Source organism: Homo sapiens, chromosome 6, assembly GCF_000001405.40.
Source record: "Homo sapiens chromosome 6, GRCh38.p14 Primary Assembly".
In the NCBI taxonomy this organism is placed as follows: domain Eukaryota; kingdom Metazoa; phylum Chordata; class Mammalia; order Primates; family Hominidae; genus Homo; species Homo sapiens.
Genome location: NC_000006.12, coordinates 151,403,814 through 151,418,655, shown reverse-complemented (window position 1 = coordinate 151,418,655; position 14,842 = coordinate 151,403,814). Strand labels below are relative to the sequence as shown.

The following is a 14,842-nucleotide window of genomic DNA, read 5'->3' as shown; positions in this document are numbered from 1 at the left end:
TGATAGGGAAAGATACAGATAAGAATAAGAGTTAAGATTTATCAATTTTTACCTGTTTATATCTTGATCTGCTCAGGAGGCTGAGGCAGGAAGATCACTTGAGCCCAGGAGTTTGAGGCTGCGGTAAGCTATGATTGTGTCACTGCACCCCAAACTGGGTGACATATGAAGACATTATCTCTAAAAAAATTTTTTAAATAAAAAACAAAAAAGTGTGGACATATTAAATTTTTTTTTTATTTGAGATGGGGTCTCACTATGTTGCCTAGGCTGGAGTACAGTGTCACAGTCTTGGCTCACTGCAGCCTCTGCCTCCGAGGTTCACATGATCCTCCCACCTCAGCCTCCCAAGTAGCTGGGACTACAGGCATACACCACCACACCTGGCTAGTTCTTGTATTTTTTGTAGAGATAGGGTTTCGCTGTGCTGTCCAGGTTGGTCTTGAACTCACAGACTCGAGCAATCTGCCCGCCTTGGCCTTCCAAAGTGCTGGGATTACAGGCATGAACCACCATGCCTGGCCCTAAAATTTTTAATAAAAAAAGTTTAGGCTGGGAATGGTGGCTCACACCTGTAATCCCAGCACTTTGGGAGGCTGAGGTAGGCAGATCACGTGAGGTCAGGAGTTCGAGACCAGCCTGGCCAACTTGGTAAAACCCTTTACTAAAAATACAAAAAATTAGCCAGGTGTGATGGTAGGCACCTGTAATCCCAGCTACTTGGGAGGCTGAGGCAGGAGAATTGCTTAAATCTGGGAGGCAGAGGTTGCAGTGAGCTGAGATCATGCCATTGTACTCCAGCCTGGGTGACAAGAGTGACTCTGTCTCAAAAAAAAAAAAAAAATTGAAAACAAAATGAGTTTTTTTCTGTGTACTTCATAAATAATGTTGGTATTAAAGATTGAATTAATTTGGTTCAGAAGTTTGAAACTCATTTGTAAATTTTATTTACATGTTTGTTGGCAGTATTTTGCAAAGGTCAGCATTAACAAATGTTTTCAGCCACATGCAATGCCACATGCCTGTAGTTCCAGCTACATGGGAGGCTGAGGCAGGAGAACAGCTTGAGCCCAGGAGTTCAGTTTGCAGTGAGTTGTGATCACACCACTGCACTCCATCCCGGGTAACATAGCAAGACCCTCTCTCTTACCAAAAAAAAAAAAGTTTTCATAAAGCACTATGTAAATATTAAATACAATAGAAACAATGATTTTTAATTCAAGATAAATAAAAAGTTATAATTTTCCTTTTTAAAGGCACCGTATAAACTTGAGTTCAGACTTCCTGATTACTCCTGATTTCTACTGGGACAGAGAAAACCTGGAAGGACTTTACGATAAAACGTGTCAATTCCTTAGCATTGGCCGAAGAGTTAAGGTACGTATTTTGCACTTCTAATGAGAGAAAAAGACACGTTGTCGCCTATAAGTTGAATATGTTTAACTGCTTGCAGAGAAATATCTTGTTTGACTTCCATTCAAATCTCTTTATATTTCCCCTTCTTGTCCTCTGTACAGTCACTTCAATTTTTTGTGTCAAAGGATCTTCTGATATTAGCTCTACAGACTAGATAAGGTTGGTGAATAAGATGAGAGTTTGGAAGCCTAATGGTCCATCAGTAAGTTCTTGTCAAGTTTCAAGCAAGAGTTCATGACTGCTTCTGATCTGTCATGGTGACAGTGAGAATAGAAATAAATTTAAGAAAGAATCATGTAAGACAAATCAAGTGATGGGTAATAAGAGGCCATGGAGAAGAAAGAATAAAGGATGACTGATGTTTGCCTGGAGGTGACAAGTAGAAAGGTGGAAAAACAATAATGAGAGGTCAGAGAGGGGAGGTGACAGACTAAATCTAAGATATGCTGAGATTAGAGTAGCAACAAGATATCCAATTAGCTCCGTCATGCAGGCATTTAGAAGGGCAGAAGCAAAGTCGGGAAAAGAGACGTGTATTAAGAAATCCCAGCACTTTGGGAGGCTGAGGCGGATGGATCACCTGAGGTTGGGAGTTTGAGACCAGCCTGGCCAACATGGCGAAACCCTGTCTCTACTAAAAATACAAAAATTAGCCAGGCATGGTGGCATTCTCCTATAGTCCGAGCTACTCGAGAGGCTGAGGCAGGAGAATCACTTGAACCCAGGAGGTGGAGGTTGCAGTGAGCCAAGGTCGAGCCAGTGCACTCCAGCCTGGATGACAGAGTGAGACTCCGTCTCAAAAAAAAAAAAAAAAAAAAAGCTGTAGTGATGGAGGTAGACCACATGGGGAAAGAGCATAGAAAACAGAAAATTGACATTAGTACAATGTGTGCACATAGTTCTGTGACATTTTGCCACATCTATAGATCCATGCAACCACATGATCAAGACACAAAACTGTGCCAGGTGCGGTGGCTCATGCCTGTAACCCCAGCACTTTGTGAGGCTAGAGGTGGGCAGATCACTTGAGGTCAAGAGTTCGAGACCTGCCTGGCCAATATGGTAAAACGCTGTCTCTACTAAAAATACAAAAATTAGCTGGGTGTGGTGGCGCGTGCCTGTAGTCCCAGCTACTCGGGAGGCTGAGGCAGCAGAATCGCTTGAACCCAGGAAGTGGAGGTTGCAGTGAGCTGAGGTCATGCCATTGCACTCCAGCCTGGGCGTTGCAGCGAGACTCCATCTCAAAAAAAACAAAACAAAAAGACACAAAACTGTTTTATCACTTTTCCTCATGCTACCCTGTATAGTCACACTGCCCTCCCCCTACCCGGACTGTCCCTAACCCCTGGCAGTGAGTAATCTCTTCTCCATCTCCATAATTTTGTCATTTTGAGGATGTTATATAGATAGTCATACAGTATGTGACTTTTTTTTTTTTTTTTTTTTTGAGACGGAGTCTTGCTCTGTTGCCCAGGCTGGAGTGCAGTGGCTCAATCTTGGCTCATTGCAAGCTCTGCCTCCCGGGTTCACGCCATTCTCCTGCCTCAGCCTCCTGAGTAGGTGGGACTACAGGCACCCGCCACCAAGCCCAGCTAATTTTTTTTTGTATTTTTAGTAGAGATGGGGTTTCACTGTGTTTAGCCAGGATGGTCTCGATCTGTATGTGACTTTTTAACTGGCTTTTTTCACAGAGCATAATGCCCTCAACTTGGATCCATCCAAATTGTTGCTTGTATCAAAGTTCCTGTCTTCCTGTGGTTACTGAAACAATTTTTTGGTATTTCATTTTGATGTTACTTTTTAATATATCTCGTTGCATAGATATTTAGTAGTTGCTCTGGTTATTACATCTTACGTATATAACTTATTACAATCTACTGATTTCAACATCTTGCAGATTAAATGAAGTATAGAATCTTTATTTCCCTAATGGATGATTGGATGCAGAAAAAAAAAAAGAATTCTTATTTCTTTTATATTCCTTTACCCTTCCGTATTTATAATTTTCTTAACTATTCTTCTGCAGACATAGAAAACTTCATCAGATAATGTTATAATTTTTGCTTCAACCATCAAACATAATTTAGAAAACTAAGAAAAGCAAAGTCTGTTGTATGTGCCCATGTTTTTATTCTTTCTGTTCTTTTCTCCTTCTGATCTTCTAAGATTTCTTTTACTGTTTTTTTTTTTCAAGAACTTTATTTAGCCATTCTTTTAAGGTAAGTCTAGTGAGACAAATTCTCTTAGTTTGTCTTCATCTGAGAGTGTATTAATTTTCTCTTCATTCTTGCAGGATATTTTCCTAGAAATAGGATTCTAGGTAGACAGTTTTCTTTCTTTCAGCACCTGAAAAATGCCATGCCACTTCCTTCTGACCTCCATGGTTTCTGACGGAAATCTGCCATAATTCTATGACATCTACATTTTATCTTTTATTATCATTTCACAAGGTCTTTGAGGCTCTGTTCACTTCTTTTCCAGTATATTTTGTCTCTGTTAAGATTGGGTAATGTCCTTTGTTTCATCTTCTAGTTGATTGATTCCTTCCTCTGTTACATTCGTTCTGCTGCCCAACATTGAGTTTATTTCATTTATTATATTTTTCAGTTCTAAAATTTCCATGTTTTTTTATTTGTATCTTCTGTTTCTTTGCAGAGACTTCCTGCTTTTTCGTTTGTTTCAAATGTGTTCAGAATTGCTTGTTGAATCATTTTTATGATGGTTGCTCTAACATCATCTAATAATACCTAACCTCAGATACCTCTTGATATTAGTGTCTACTGATTGTCTTTTCTGATTCCCTCCAACTAATTTTAATACCTCCAGTTTCCCTCATTGCCTCAAGTGTTCTGGCTTGATATACAAGGTCCTTCCTATTGTTTCTGTTTTTCAATCATATTTCCTACCAATCCCCACATTCACCTTGTATCACATCAAAAATAAGTGATTAGCCTGGGAAACACAATGAGACCTCATTTCTACTAACCTTTTTTTTAAAAAAATTAGCCAGGTATAATGGCATGTGCCTGTAGTCTCAGCTACCCTGGGAGGTTGAGGCAGGAGGATTGCTTTAGCCCAGGAGTTTGAGGCTGCAGTGAGCCATGATCACGCCACTACATCCCAGTCTAGGTGACAGAGTGAGACCCTGTCTCAAAAAAATAAAAATAAAAAATACATGATTTATAATTTCAAAAACCTACCATGGCTTATTGAATGCTATGTTCCACTTTAGTGTCTACATTTTTTTCCTCTAAGCTAGACACCGCCCCTTGCAAAACCACATCAAAGCTATCTGCAGTTGTCACTGATCTTGGCACCACCTATTCCTCTGTAGGTGTCTTCCAGCACAGGACAGTAGAGATCATCACCACTCGGCAAGAAAACCAAGCTATGTTGCTTTTAGCTGACACAGAAAGATTGATTAGTGATGGTTTAGGAATCAAATTCAGTGGACTCCATCAACACAGTTTTAGATAACAGAGGTGTAATTAGACACCGATTTGACAGTCCAACTGTCTGGTCAAACATGAAAAGCACTGGACTTTCCTGGTTGTCGACTGTGCACACAGGCTGAAGATCCAGAGGAGGAAAGGGAGGGATACTAAAAGCTTTATACAGTTGAGGTATTTCCTGTGGTTGTGTTAGCTATTGCTGTGTAACAAATTACCCCAAAACTTGGTGGACTGAAACACCACTTACTGGCTGGGCACGGTGGCTCACGCCTGTTACCCCAGCACTTTGGTAGGCCAAGGCAGGCAGGTCACATGAGGCCAGGAGTTCAAGACCAGCCTGGCCAACATGGTGAAACCCCATAAATTAGTCGGGCATGGTGGCATGCACCTGTAGTCCCAAGTAGCTGACTCTGGAGGCTGAGGCATGAGAATCACTTGAACCCAGGAGGCAGAGGTTGGACTGAGCTGAGACTGCACCACTGCACTCCAGCCTGGGTGACAGAGTGAGACTGTCTCAAAAAATAAAAAGAAAAAAGAAACACCACTTACTATTTAAGTTTTTGTGGGTCAGGAATCAGTGCAGCTTAGCTGGGTCCTCTGATTCTGTGTTTCTCACAAGGCTGCAGTCATCTCAGAGATTCACTTCCTAGTTCACTCGTGGTTATTGGCTGGATTTGGTTCCTCTCAGGCTATTAGATTGAGGCCTCAGTTCCTCATAAGCTGATGTCCAGAAGCTTCTCCATAGAGCATCTCACAACATGGCAGTGTGCTTCATCAGATGAACAAGTAGGGGAGTGATATGGTTTAGATCTGTATCCCTGCCCAAATCTTGTGTCGAATGGTAATGCCCGTGTTGGAGGTGGGTCCTGGTGGGGGGGTGACTGGATCATCAGGGTAGATTTCTCATGAGTGGTTTGGCACCATCCCCTTGGTGCTGTTCTTGTGACAGTGAGTTCTCGTGAGGTTGTTTAAAAGTGTGTAGCACCTGCATCTCCCCTTGTTCGCTCTTCTTCGCTTCTGCCATGTAAGGTACCTGCTCTCCCTTCACCTTCCACTATGATTGTAAGTTTCTGGAGGCTTCCCCAGAAGCCAAGCACATGCCAGCATCATGCTTCCTGTAGAACAGTGCAGAACCATGAGCCAATTAGGCCTCTTTTCTTTATAAATTACCCCGTCTCAGGTATTTCTTTATAGCAGTGAGAGACTGGACTAATACAGAGAGCAAGAGAGACTGTCAGGAAGAGAATGCTAGTAAAACAGAAGTCACAGTCTTTTGCAACCTAATCACAGAAGTGATTTTTGCTGTGCTCTCTTTGTTAAAAACAAGTTAGGGCCAGGCACAGTGGCTCATGCTTATAATCCTAGCCCTTTGGGAGGCTGAGATGGGAGGGTCACTTGAGGCCAGGAGTTCAAGACCAGCCTGGTCAACATAGTGATACCCCCGCCCATCTCTTTAAAAAAAAAAAAAAATTAAAAAGCAAGTTATGGCCAGTCGTGGTGGCTCACACCTGTAATCCCAGCACTTCGGGAGGCCGAGGTGAGTGGATCACCTGAGGTCAGGAGTTCAAGGCCAGCGTGGCTAACATGGTGAAACCCTGTCTCTACTAAAAATACAAAAATTAGCTGGGCATGGTGGTGGACGCCTGTAATCCCAGTCACTTGGGAGGCTGAGGCAGGAAAATCGCTTGAACCTAAGGGGGGCAGAGGTTGCAGTGAGCCAAGATCAGCCTGGATGAAACAGCAAAACTTCGTCTCAAGAAAAAAAAAGGCAAGTTATTAGACTGAGCCTACGCTCGAGGGTAGGGGATGACACAAAAGTGAACACCAGGAGGTGGGGAGTCTTTGGGTGGCATCTTAGAAATCTGCCTACCACATTGGTTTTGAAAAAGATGGAGAAAATTCTGGAAACCTACTTTATGACCCCTGACCTACACGATCCTCATACTACCAGTTACTTTAATGGTTGCCAGCTTCAGGCCATCAAAGTTGGTGGAACCATTACTGATCTCATTGTGTTCTGAATTGTCAGCAAGCCAAATGCCGCTGGTCTCAGCTTAGACGAGAACGTTAATGCCAAATTTAATGATCTGATCTTTTACCTGGGTGGCATTTTTTATCTGTCCATCCTCAGTATTCAAGATGGAATTACTGAAGTCAAGTCTGCAACTGAGGATACCCACCTGAGTGAAGAGTACCTTGACAACTAAGTGGTCAGCTGTTTCATGGCTGAGATCAACTGCAGTTATAGAAAGGACACCCGTTGAGAACAAGCAGGCTGCCCAAGCCCCTTCTGCCTCTACTGAATGTGCTCTTCATTCTGGTATCGAGGCCAATTTGAGATTGAGTCCCTCCATGAAGGGGTTCACATCTATACCTCTGTGCACATGAGCAGCTGGAAGAATCAAAAGCCACCCCAGTCCCTGGCACCCTACACCTGTGGAGAAAGCCATAAGCAATGTCACCCAGACATATCACCAGTCCTTCACGGGTGGCTCTATTTATATCCCCAAGATTTAAAATCTCTTATAGGGCCGGGCATGGTGGCTCACACCTGTAATCCCAGCACTTTGGGAGGCCAAGGTGGGAGGATCGCTTGAGGCCAGGAGTTCAAGACCAGCCTGGCCAACATGGTGAAACCTGTCTCTACTAAAAATACAAAAATTAGCCGGGCCTGGTGGTGCATGCCTGTGATCCCAGGTACTTGAGGGGCTGAGGCACTAGAATCACTTGAACTTGGGAGGCAAAGGTTCCGATGAGCTGAGATTGCACCACTGCACTCCAGCCTGGGTGACAGAGTGAGACTTATCTCCAAAAAAATAATTAATAAATAAGATAAAGTCTCCTACAGGAAGAACTAGAACTGAATTTATTTACAGGCAGTATGATCTTGTATGTAGAAGACCTGGAAGAATCTACAAAGAAGCTACCAGAATAAGTGAGTTTATCAAGGTCTCAAGATCAATGTATAAAAACGGTTATCTTTCGTTATACTGCAAATACACAATTGGAAAATGAAATTTTAAAACTTCTGTTTATAGTAGCACCCAAAACTTGAATTACTCAGGTTTGAATTGAGTGATTCAACTATTCCAGAATAATATTAATTAATCAATTGGAGTAATCTGAGCAAGTAATTGTTCTTTATTTCATTCCCCAGTCTCACTGTGGGACATCTTTTTTGGTGTTAAGTCTTCTGCATGAGTTATGAAGCATACCTAAAAGGTCTCAAACTACCTTTCTCAGAGTTTTTTCTCAGCATCCCGAAGGCAGTTCAGACTCGTTGGATTATGTCAAGGTTATTTAGAAGGGGTTGAGAGTTCACCCTGCCTTAGGCTCAGCATAGTGCTGGCATTATACATAATACAAAAGAAAAGTAAGAATTGGTCCTGCCCTTCAGCCAGCTTTACAGTCTTCTAAGAAAACAGATGGAACAGGCCGGGTGCGGTGGCTCATGCCTGTAATCCCAGCATTTTGGGAGGCCAAGGAGGGCGGATCACAAGGTCAGGAGATCCAGACCATCCTGGCTAACATGGTGAGACCCCGTCTCTACTAAAAATACAAAAAAATTAGCTGGGCGTGGTGGCGGGCGTCTGTAGTCCCAGCTACTCGGGAGGCTGAGGCAGGAGAATGGCGTGAACCCGGGAGGGAGAGCTTGCAGTGAGCGGAGATTGTGCCACTGCAGTCCAGCCTGGGTGACAGAGCAAGACTCCGCCTCAAAAAAAAAAAAAAATGGAACAAAGAGTAGCGGGGTTTTTTATTCCCCCTCAAAAAGTAGAAGAAAGGGTCTTGAGAAAATAGGGGTGAGTAGGCATAAGACATGCTAAAAAGTTGAGTACAGAGGTCCAGATGCAGAGAGCAGTTACACAGTGTCATGGGACAGAAACTAGTTGGCAGTGGATCCCTCGCTCCATTTTCTCACGTCAGTATCCCCTGAAGTCCTGTCGCTGAGGCTTCTGTCCCCATGCCACCTTCTCCGTGAACACTTGTTTGTTGTCGTGACTTCTAATCCCACCTTCTCCTGGGGATTTTCAAATGTCTCTCTCATCCCAGTCTCTTGTCTGCCTTCCAGACTTTTCCAGTTGCCCCTCAATCTCACAGATCTTCCTCATTTACATATCTCGTCGCATCCTTTTAAAAATTGTGTGTACCATTTTCCACTAGAATGTAAGCCCCATGAGATCGGAGACCATGATTATTTTCTTGCCTGTTCTTGGCAAAGGCCTCACATACAGTATGTCCGCAAGAAATATTTGTAGAATTAGTCAATGATTAAAATTTCAAAATGAAACTTTTGAAATTCCCCCCCACCCCAGAAAATGGTAAACCTTTTCAGTTCTCTATTTCAGCTCATGGGAGGACCTTCTAGCCTCACCTATCTAGTCATTCAACCAGAAACTTAAAAGTCATCTGGGTGTCCTTTTTCTCCTTCACCTTCCATATCCAGTCAAACAATCTTTTTAGTTCCCTCTAAGTATCATGGATTCATTAGCAAACATTTATTGAAAGCCTGTATGATAGGCCCTAGGCTGGTGAAACAGGGGAATACCATACTGACCCGTCTTCAAGCCCCCAACTATTAATGTTCATCCACACAGCCCCTCATCTTCCTTTCCCACCTGGACTTGTCTGATTCCTTCTTGACTCTCTCAGTCTCCAGACTGGACCTTTTCCCAGTCTCTCTGCACCCTTTGGCTGCAAGACAGACACATGTCTATTTCACCATTCTGTCTCCTCTGCCCAGCGTAGTACAGTAAATGTTAAAACAAGTACTTCCAGACTGAACAAAGGCCTCCCCATTACCTGCAGAATGAAGTTCAGATATTCTAGCATGACATGCTACTTTCCTACTGCTGCTTAACAGAAATTTGTCATCTTACTGTTCTGTAGGTCAGAAGTCTGGCATGGCCTAAAGTTAAGATGTTGATTCCTCTTTGGAGACTGCGAGTGGAATCCATTTCCTCACCTTTTCCAGTGACTGGAGGCCACCCATATTCCTTGCTCATGGCCCCCTCCTCCATCTAGCAAAGGCCTGTGGAATCCTCATATTGTATCATTCTGAACTCTTCTGCCCCGCATTTCCACTTTTAAGGACCCTTGTGATTACATTGGGCTTACCCAGATAATCTAGGATTATCTCATCTTAAGGTCAGCTAATTAATAACTTTAATTTCTTATACAATCTTAATTCTCCTTTGCCATATTATATTCACAGGTTCCAAGAATTAGGACATAAATCTCTTTGGGGTGGGGGACATGGTTCTGCCTATACCATATGTAGTACACAGTACCTCTCACAATCTGGTACTAACTTCTTTTTTTCTGAGATGGAGTTCAATGCCGTGGTCTTGGCTCACTGCAACCACCGACTCCTGGGTTCAAGTGATTCTCCTGCCTCAGCCTCCCAAATAGCTGGGATTACAGGTGCCTGCCACCACACCCAGCTAATTTTTCTATTTTTAGTAGAGACGGGGTTTCGCTATGTTGGCCATGCTGGTCTTAAACTGACCTCAAGTGATCCGCCTGCCTTGGCCTCCCAAAATGCTGAGATTACAGATGGGAGCCACCGCCCCCAGCTGACTTACCTTCTTAACCTCACTTCCAAGCACTTTCTTCTAGGTTGTCCACAATCTAGCTATGCTTGTCTGTATGCTGTTTCCTATGCTTGACATGCTCCCTTCATCCCCCAATAACCCCACCAGCATCCCACCTTTTCTTCATGTCCACTGCCTTTTAAAGCCTAATTCACATTTCCTACCTCTGTGAAGCCTCTCCTGGTTTTTTCTTTGCTCCCTTAATCTGCATGCTCGACGCGTACATGCCTCTATACCTAAATAAATAGAAAGCATGCTGTGGTAATAGTGACTTTTTTTTGTGTGTGTGACGGAGTCTCGCTCTGTCGCCCAGGCTGGAGTGCAGTGGCGCGATCTTGGCTCACTGCAAGCTCCACCTCCCGGCTGGGTTCACACTATTCTCCTGCCTCAGCCTCCTGACTGGCTGGGACAACAGGGGCCGCCACAACACCCGGATAATTTTTTTGTATTTTTAGTAGAGATGGGGTTTTACCCTGTTAGCCAGGATGGTCTTGATCTCCTGACCTCGTGATCCTCCTGCCCCAGCCTCCCGAAGTGTTGTGATTATAGGCAAGAGCCACTGCACCCGGCCATAGGGACTCTTGCTTGCACATTTCAGTGTGTTGTCAGATGCTTGGATTGAGGTTCGAAGCTAAGTTGTTAGACTTAATAATAGACTTTGGGACGTTTAGGAGAGTTGTGGTAATATAAACTAAAGGAATAAATTGGATGATGATGAGGTAGTGGAGGAAGAAAATGTTGCCTGTTTTTTGGCCCAAGTTGAAAGAAAATGCAAGAGGCTGAATCAGTAGTCTGAAGAGAGAAGCAAGCTTAAGGATGAACATTAAAGACCAAGATCAAGCAGCCAATAGAAACAGACATTAAGAAAGGGCAAGAGGAAAGGAAAACAGGGAGGGGAAAGGAAGAGGGAAGAGGCATGCTCTACACATCTATACAGATTAGAAACTACAGGGTGACCATAACGCCTGGAAATAGGGGCAAATGGTGGAGTGTGGTTCAGTCAGTTAGTCCTGTGGTTCTGTGAGTAAGACAGTTTTTTTTTGGAGACAGGATCTCACTTTGGCACCCAGGCTGGAGTGCAGTGGCATGATCTTGGCTCATTGCAGCCTTGACCACCTGAGCTCAAGCAATCCTCCCACCTCATCCCTGCCAAGTAGCTAGAACTACAGGCACACACCACCATGCCTGGCTAATTTTTTTGTAGAGACAGGGTTTCACTGTGTTGCCCAGGCTGGTCTCCAACTCCTGAGCTCAAGTGCGCCTCCTGCCTCAGCCTCCCAAAATGCTAGGATTACAGGCATAAGCCACCGAGCCCAGCCTAGTAAGGCAGTTTAATGCTATGTGCAAAAATCGTAACATGGTGCAGTTAACGCATTCCAATCAACCCCTGAACACGTACCTGTGATTCATCTCTTAATGTTCACTGACCAAACCTGTAACTTCAGCATACCCATGAGACAAACTGTTTTAAAATTTTGCTTTCAGGATTTCCAGTAGCAAGTGATATATAAAGATATTAGGTAGGTATTTAACAGTTATCACATCCAGGCCTGGCACGGTGGCTCACGCCTGTAATCCCAGCACTTTGGGAGGCCGAGGCGGGCGGATCACAAGGTCAGGAGATCGAGACCATCCTGGCTAACATCATCTCTACTAAAAATACAAAAATTAGCCGGGCGTGGTGGCGGGCACCTGTAGTCCCAGCTATTTGGGAGGCTGAGGCAGGAGAATGGCGTGATCCCAGGAGGCAGAGCTTGCAGTGAGCCGAGATCCGCCATTACACTCCGGCCTGGGCGACAGAGGGAGACTCCATCCCAAAAAACAACAACAACAACAAAAAAAAAAGTTGTCACATCCAAATTTTGAATTCAGGGACTTTATTTTCTTTGAACCCCCACAGCCAGCTTGTTTGGAGGCATCGGAATGCAGAACTGTTGCAGTTCAGTTGAAAGCAATGCCATCTAGTGGTGTGTGTACAGCAGGTCAAATGTTAAGCGTAGATTTTCTAGTAGAAAGTAAATTATCTTTAGGTCTTGCTAAAAAACATTATGTTTCAAGTTTGCCTCTTTTAACTGCTAAAAAGGGCAGCTACTAAAAACTAGGACTCAAAAACCTATTTTTAGTTCTTCCATCAAAATCTTACAAATAGAAGAGCTTCAGTATGCAAAGTATTTCTTGCAGTTAAATTTGTACATTACAAAATGTCTCTGGACGGATTCACAAGAAACTGATAATGTTGGTGGCTGCCTTTGGGGAGAGGACTGAGGAGCAGGATTTTTCACTGTATAGCTATAGAATTTTTATGTGTATGACCGTATTAAATTGTTTAAATACATGTTACTGAAATTTTTCTTACATAGGTCATGAATGAAAAACTTCAGCACTGCATGGAACTAACAGATCTAATGCGGAATCACCTGAATGAGAAGAGGGCACTCCGCTTGGAGTGGATGATTGTCATCCTCATTACCATAGAGGTAAGATGGAAATGCTCTGTACTATGATCAGTTACCATCTTTTCACAAATACAGGGGCTATGCTAATAAGATAGTTTGAGATAGAAAATTATTAGCAGAAAAGAGGCTGACTTTGTTATCATTACTAACTCTATTTGGAAGTTTCAAATTACTATTTGCAAATGCATTAAAAGTAATTCTTGAAAAGGTTCCACTTTTTAAAATTTGAGAGTAGACCTCAAGGTTCTGCTTTTAAAGACAGCATTTGGAAAAAGTTCTAGCTGTAAATTTATAATGTACAGCTCAACATCAAATCAAGCACCCGTACCTCCAATTCATAGGTTGCCACGTGAGAAAGGGCAAACATTTACCTTACTTCAGGAGCATTTCTCATTAATCACAATCTTGGAAGTCATTTTAGTTTGTACCCATAATTTGCCCGTCATGAAATAATTCTCACTTTCTATTCTAAGGTAATGTTTGAGCTGGGACGAGTATTTTTCTGATCAAGTGATAACCAAAGTGTCACTGCAAGAGATATTCAAGTTCTACAATCAAAAATTAAATGTTCGGCCCGGCGCGGTGCCTCATGCCTGTAATCCCAGCACTTTCGGAGGCCAAGAAGGGTGGCTTGAGATGAGATCAGGAGCTCAAGACAAGCCTGGCCAACATGGTGAAACCCCATCTCTACTAAAAATACCAAAATTAGCCAGGTGTGTTGGCACACGCCCGTCATCTCAGCTACTCAGGAGGCTGAGGCAGGAGAATCTCTTGAACTTGGGAGGCGGAGGTTGCAGTGAGCTAAGATCACACCACTGCACTCCAGCCAGGGCAACAGTGAGACTCAGTCTCAAAAATAAACAATAAAATAAATAAATAAATGTTCACTACTGGGTGATCATTTAATAGGTGTTTTTTTAATCAAGAAATTATCTTTTTCAGCCCAGTATATCGTGTGAATAAAATTATGAAGAATCTAGTGTTTGTATCTACATCACTGACAATTCAAAAGGTAAATATTTCAGTTAAGAACTTTGGAAAACTAGCATCTAGGAAATCTTGGCAAATCTTGGCAGATACTTCTTAAAGTCACAGGACTTAGGTTTTAGACACCACAACTTAACCTATCCCCAGGGAATCCCATCATGGCCCTGGCTAAGAGAATCATACAGGAACTGAAGTGTTTAAATCAATATATACAGGCCGGGCGCGGTGGCTCACGCCTGTAATCCCACTTTGGGAGGCCGAGGCGAGTGGATCACAAGGTCAGGAGATCGAGACCATCCTGGCTAACATTACACGGTGAAATCCCGTCTCTACTAAAAATACAAAAAATTAGCTGGGTGTGGTGGCAGGCGCCTGCAGTCCCAGCTACTCAGGAGGCTGAGGCAGGAGAATGGCATGAACCCGGGAGGCGGAGCTTGCAGTGAGCTGAGATCATGCCACTGCACTCCAGCCTGGGCATCAGAGAAAGACTCCCGTCTCAAAAAAAAAAAAAAAAAAAAAAAAGAGAGAAATCAATATATACAATAACAAGACAGGCTTCTGGTGGCAGAAATGAAATCTTAAATACCTATTTTCGATGGCATGATTTGAGTATGGCTGTTCACCGGCACCTTTTATTAATACTTTGTCCTTTCACCAAGTTAGTCACAATATTCTTCCCACAGATGTTTGTTCCAGAGATATTTTGGGGAAATTTAAAAAATACCAAGCACAAAGAATTTAACATCTACATATTTACCTCCTTGGGTTGACAACATTTAAAAATCAAATCTTTACCTTCATTGCCTTACTTTTATGCATAACCCGATGCCCCACTATAGTCCTCACCTGTCAACTTTTTTTTCACACATATCCTTTCGTTTTGCAACTCACTTAACTGCTACACAGTATTATACCAAGAGAATACATTCATCTGTACTAA

At 43.0% G+C, this 14,842-nt stretch overlaps 1 protein-coding gene, 1 long non-coding RNA gene and 1 pseudogene across 6 annotated transcripts in view; all 3 read left to right on the top strand.

Moving 5' to 3' along the window:
* The window catches only part of RMND1 (required for meiotic nuclear division 1 homolog), a 47,365-nt gene extending 33,471 nt beyond the window's left edge, over positions 1-13,894 (top strand). For 2 of the 5 annotated variants that reach the window (NM_001271937.2, NM_017909.4), the window contains 3 exons: positions 1,257-1,377; positions 12,820-12,936; positions 13,389-13,894. In NM_001271937.2, coding sequence (NP_001258866.1) covers positions 1,257-1,377; positions 12,820-12,936; positions 13,389-13,421 — 271 coding nt within the window. In that variant the 3' untranslated portion in view covers positions 13,422-13,894. Of the gene's footprint in view, positions 1-1,256; positions 1,378-9,755; positions 10,014-12,819; positions 12,937-13,388 lie in introns of those variants that run through there. The other 3 variants (XM_047418961.1, XM_047418960.1, XM_047418959.1) reach the window with 2 other exon arrangements.
* LOC124901433 (uncharacterized) lies at positions 1,385-3,238 on the top strand. Its single transcript, XR_007059814.1, has 2 exons — positions 1,385-1,575; positions 3,108-3,238. It is a non-coding gene; the product is annotated as an uncharacterized LOC124901433 (long non-coding RNA).
* HSPA8P15 (heat shock protein family A (Hsp70) member 8 pseudogene 15) lies at positions 4,699-7,394 on the top strand (annotated as a pseudogene).